Below are 6,409 nucleotides of genomic sequence, written 5' to 3'. Positions count from 1 at the left end.
CTTAAAAAGACAATTCTGGATAATTAACGTTATTCTCTGGTGTAGAGCTTGATACTTTTGCCTAATTTTGAGAAAGTTTTGTTTGCCTTTTTCTCTTTCTCTCGGTCCTTCACTGATTCATTCTGGCAATATCAGCCTGAGGTATATGTTTTTCTGTCCTATAATTCAGGCATTTCATAAAATTGTGGAACTCAGTGTTATTCCATTTTTTTCCTTAATAGATATTTTTTCAGTTTTTGCTATGTGCCAAGCACTGTATAGGTGCTAGAAATACAAAGGAAAAAGAAAGAAGGCATCTCTTTTCTCAGCAGGATTAACATTCTAAAGGGTGAGACTGAATCCAAGGAAGAATTTTGTTGATGAAAACACAAAATGAAAATTAAATAGAATCAAAATTAACTAGTAAATTATTATTATTTTTAAGATATTTTAAAGCAAAAACAATATATAGCACATATATAAAATATTTTAAAGCATAGATATATTACATATTGCTTTATACATATTTTAAAACAAATATGTATACAATTTCAGACCAAAGGGTCTCCTGATTAATGAGAGAAACAGAGTTTAACTGATATATATATATTCCAGAGAAGTGTCTATATATGTCGTAAGCAAAAACAGAATGAAACAATAAAATAATGCAATTTAGAAAAATGTAACAGAAGAAAAATGCACACATACGAATTCTAACTTCCCTCCTTTTTTTCACTTTGTACTACCCTGACTTTCTTTCCTCCCTCCTTTACTTCTAACTACTTATTTTATTTTAAAAAATATTTGAGATAACTGCATTGAGTTAGATTAACTAATGAGAAGGCTTTAATTTTTATATCTCAATCATTAATATATTGGATGGTTATTCTTAAATTCAACAGTGTACTCATGCATAACGCTCTCTCCTATTGGAAAGCAAATTCTTATTATAGTTAATATAATCTCCTATCTTTATGAGAGTCCCTACAACAGATATAGTGTCAATTTAATATGGCTATATCTTGTAACATTCCTTAATTTAGGCCAATGGTGGTTTGCCATAGCATTCCACTTACCTTTTAAATTTGAACATTTAAAATGAATGAAATTCTGGGACTTTCTGCTGAGAATAAGAACAAAGAGGGCTAAAATATACCCTTCCACCCAAAGTGTTTGAACATCTTGCAGTGTTCTGGTGATTCTATCACTTTACACTGATTTTCTTCCAGCAAAATTTTCAATTCAAAAGTAATATGTGCAGAGAGGTAAGAAGTCAAAGAGACAGTAGCTGCTAAGAGGCAGAGAAGCTTTTCAAAGTCACACTGGACTGGGGGGACAAACTTGAAAAGTTATCTACCACTGTAAGCAGACTTGCAGGACTATAGTTTGGAGATGAGAGTAGAATAATGAAGCCCAGGATACAGAATTTATTGTTTCTTTAATGGCGATCATTAAAAAGTCAGGAAACAACAGGTGTTGGAGAGGATGTGGAGAAATAGGAACACTTTTACACTGTTGGTGGGACTGTAAACTAGTTCAACCATTGTGCAAGACAGTGTGGTGATTCCTCAAGGATCTAGAACTAGAAATGCCATTTGACCCAGCAATCCCATTACTGGGTATATATCCAAAGGATTATAAATCATGCTGCTGTAAAGACACATGCACATGTATGTTTATTGCGGCACTATTCACAATAGCAAAGACTTGGAACCAACCCAAATGTCCAACAATGATAGACTGGATTAAGAAAATGTGGCACATATACACCATGGAATACTACGCAGCCATAAAACAGGATGAGTTCATGTCCTTTGTAGGGACATGGATGAAGCTGGAAACCATCATTCTGAGCAAACTATCACAAGGACAGAAAACCAAACACCGCATGTTCTCATGCATAGGTGGGAATTGAACAATGAGAACACTTGGACACAGGGTGGGGAACATCACACACTGGGGCCTGTCATTGGGTGGGGAGCTGGGGGAGGGATAGCATTAGGAGATATATCTAATGTGAATGACGAGTTAACGGGTGCAGCACACAAACATGGCACATGTATACATATGTAACAAACGTGCACGTTGTGCACATGTACCTTAGAACTTAAAGTATATTTAAAAAAAAGACTTTTTTCCTTTTATAGGCAGATCAGGCTGGGAGGTAGAGAAGGCAAACAGAAAGCTGTTGATAAAATTCTAAATATCTAACAAAAATTATTGGTGATGCTATAGTTCTGGGAAGGAAAAATTGGCATTTAGAGCCTGATAGTGAATGGTCTTATTAAACAGCCCATAAATTTATTCTAAACTTCTAAAATTCCAAATTCTAAAAGTACCAGATAATCAGAAATTAGATGGTCTCCCAAAAATCTAAAGCTGATCTGCAAATTACTTTAGTTCCTGACAAGATTAAGGTTATTTTCTCCTACTCTCAGTGACTACCAAGACCAGCAAAACAATTGTTTCTTGAGGAAGATCACATCAAAAGATTCCATACCTTTCCTCATGCAGTTTCTGTCATCCAATTAAAAGTAATAAGGCAAAAAAACTTTCATTTTATACCATGATGCCATATACTGGGCCTAAGTTCAGCTTTTGATGTACTTTGGATAGTTGTCCCTGCCCAAATCTCATGTTGAATTGTAATCCCCAATACTGGAAGTGTATCCTGGTGGGAGGTGTTTGGATCATGAGGGTGGGTCTCTCATGGATTAGCACAGTCTTTGTGATAGACAGTTCTTGGAAAATCTGGTCATTTAAAAGTGTGTGACACTTTCCCCCTACTCCCTCTCTTGTTCCTGTTTTCACCATGTGAAGTACCTGCTCCCACTTCACCTTTTCCCATGTGTAGAAGTTCCCTGAGGCCTCCCCAGAAGCTGAGCAAATGCCACCACCACACTTCCTGTATAGCTTACAGAACTGTGAGCCAATTAAACGTATTTTCTTTGTAAATTACCCAGTCTATATATTTTTGATAGCAATACAGGAACAGCCTAACATACCCTTCCACTGATAAACAATTAGAAAACAGGATTAAATATATGGCAGAGCTGTTTTCAGAGATTGGACAAAGACATGGATTTTGATCCAACAGGATGTATATGCCTTAGAGAAGAAAAATAAATTTATGTGTACAGAATTAAAAAAATGTGAATTATCACAGACTACTCATCAGAAAAAAAACAATGTGCATGTGAAGGATACAATGGAAAGTCACTTAAACTAAGATGAAAGGGAAAAAAACACAAAAAACTTGTTCACTTATAATTCTATATCCAGGTTTACTGAAACCTTTTCTCCAGACAAAATCTGACAAAATCTGATAGAATTTGTTGTCAGCAGATGAACATAACAGGAAATGTTAAAAGAAGTTCCTCCCTGAAGATGAAGAAAAATGAAGCCAGATGGAAAATTGAATTTACACAAGGAATGACAGTGTCTAGAATGGTAAATATGTGCATGAATATAAAACACTTTGAAATTTTAATTTTTAGTACCTTTGAAATATAATTAAGTAAAATGAATTATTTTGAGGTCTATAACCCTGATGTAAGTAAAATGTATAACAACAAAGCACAAAAATCAGTTCGGAGGAAATAAAATTAAATGTTGCAAGGTCCTTTGATGATACATGAAGCAGAGTAATATTATTTGAAGGTAGACTGGAAAAAGCAGAAGTATGGCCACTAGCAGTGAATAGCATTAAAATTTCATCAGATAATTTAAGTGCATAAAAATATTATATTTTTATATAATATTGTATATAATAAATATTAAAGATGAGTGACTAGGGACATTGAATACCCACCCTGTCCAAAAGGAAGAATCAAAATTATGAATAGATAATTGTACCTGGAACAGAACATCTAGGAGCGAACACTAGAGTCCAACAGAAAAGCCACAAGAAATACCTGGGGCATAGAAGAAGAAAGTGAGTGGTCAGCTCAGTCGAGATCGGGATCAACTGGGAGCCCAGGGGTGCTCAGTGTTGTAAGGAAAAGGTAAGGGAGAGAACTTCAGCAGTCCACATCTCCAGCATGGACTGCTGCAATCCTAACCATGGGAGAAGTCCTGTACTCACATAAACACTAGTGTAGGCAATGATTTGGAGAACCCATGAGGGCACTGAACCAGACAGGGAACTCACACTGGGTCACTCACCCCATTGAGACCTAAGTGGCTACAGCAAGGTACCAATGTGAGAACACAGCCATGACAAGACTGCTTCCTGCCCTGGGAACCATAGTTCCCATATCTCCACAACTTGGGAGCCCGCACTGACATCCCCTAGTGCCTACCCAAAGAGCTACAGTGTCATCGTGCTGTCTGGACCGAAAGGTGTTGTGGAATCCCCAGTATTCTAGCCCACAGGGAGTACTACTCTCCAGAAAAAAAGGATAGTTCAGATCACCAAAAAGGGAGCACCACTTAGGACAAAGGAAACAAAAGCACGTGCTTTCTGGGCTGAGAGCTTTCTGTTTGGGGATGTGAGAAGTGACCCTGCTCCAAGCAGTGGCACAAACTGTGCTCAGCCTTGCAAACAGAGTGATATCCCTTCCCACTGGCAGAGTGGCTTCTACGCTTGGACCGACACATGGAAAATGGAATCCCTTCTCCTGCTCCTTGCACTTCTGTAGGCACAGCTGCTGTTGCTACCTCAGGAGGCTGGGGCAGTAGAGCTGAATGGCTGCCTTTCTGGGGCTGTTAGTTGTGAGTGTACCCCCACATGTGGTATGGCCTCCATGCATGGACTGTCCCATGAAAGATGGGTGTCCTCACCCTGTGCAGTGCTGCTGCTACTGAGAGTGGCAAGCCTGGGAGCTGCATGTCTGAGACTGGGTGTCAACCCCTTACCACGTCACCACCAACACCAGTGTACACCACTCAGGACCAAGAGAATCATCCTGCTGCTGCTATCTATCACCTATATACCATGCTTCTATCACCCATATACCATGCAAACTGCTCAGGACCCAAGAATCTGCTCACCTACCTAGATGAATGTTGCCACTCAGGCCATCTGAGCAAGCTATCTGGAGGCTCAAGAATCAGTCCATCTGATTCCATTAACATTGATGACAGTGTATTCTACCCTGGAGCACAAAAACAGGCATGTTTACCCACTGCTGCCACCATGGGGGTCTGAAAACTGGCCTACCTGGCATCCTTGTTTGCCGCAAAATTTTACCATAGCCTCCACTAATAACTGCACCCTGAACAACCTGAGGAAATAACAGATACCACTCAGGCTGTCACAGCTGAAAAATCATTCAGGGATTACACTGTCTCATGCACCCAGAATAAAAGCTAAAAGGTCTTACCCAACCAACACTATTAATATATTTTCAGGAAAAAGTACCCACCTACAAAAGAAAATTTGAAAAAAAAATTAAAAAGCAAGAAAATGTGACACCTACAAAAGGACATAATAATTCCAGCAACAGATCACAATATAAAAGAAATTCATGAAATTCCAAAAAAAGAATTCAAAATTATGATACAAAAGCTCAGTGAAATAAAAAAGAATTCTGAAAAACAATATGAGGAAATCAGAAAAAGAATCCAAGATATGAATGATAAATTTACCAAAGAGATAGATATCATAACAAAGAACCAAGCAGAAATTCTAGAATAAAGAACTCCGTGAATGAAATACAAAATATATTTGAAAGCTTCAAAGACAGGCTAGATGAAGCAGAAGAATATCAGAACTTAAAGACATGTCTCTTGAAATAACCCAGTCTGAAAACAATAAAGAGAAAAAGAATTTTAAAAGTATAAAAAGTATAAGTCAGACAACAATCAAAAAAAATAATTTTAAAAATATAAATAGGGGGCCAAATGGCTTACTATAAACAGCTGCCATTACAGGTTCCCACCAAGAAGAACCAAAATAGCATGTGAATCCTGCACTGGCAACTGAGGTATCCATGTTCTATCATCAGGACTGACTAGTAGGTTGACATGACCCATGGAGAGCAAAGAAAAGAGGGGTGATGCGATGGCTCACCTGAGAGCCACACCTGGCAAGGGGAGCCGCAACCCCCAGCCAAGGGAGGCAGTGAGTGATTGTGCTACCCAGCTTGGTAAACCATGCTTTTTCAATGGATCTGTGCAACCCGTGGATAGGGAGATCATACTCATGAACCCATCCCACCAGGGATTCTGTCCCAACCACAGAGTCACACAGATTCTCAATAGCCACTTGGCTGGAGACTGCCTAAGACTACTGAGCTCCCAGGGGAAGGGGAGGCCATCATCACTGCTGCTGCCTGCTGCCTTAGAAAACTGAGCACCCCAGGCAAGGGACGGCAGCCATCACTGCAGCTGCCTGCTGCCTAAGATGACTGAACTGCTGGCGGTGGGGGTAGGGCAGCAGCCACCCCTGCAGCTTCAGTCCGCTGTTTTTCCCCTGCAATGCCAGGGA

This window comes from Homo sapiens, chromosome 4 (assembly GCF_000001405.40).
Source record: "Homo sapiens chromosome 4, GRCh38.p14 Primary Assembly".
Lineage (NCBI taxonomy): Eukaryota > Metazoa > Chordata > Mammalia > Primates > Hominidae > Homo > Homo sapiens.
This window is presented reverse-complemented; position numbering follows the sequence as displayed.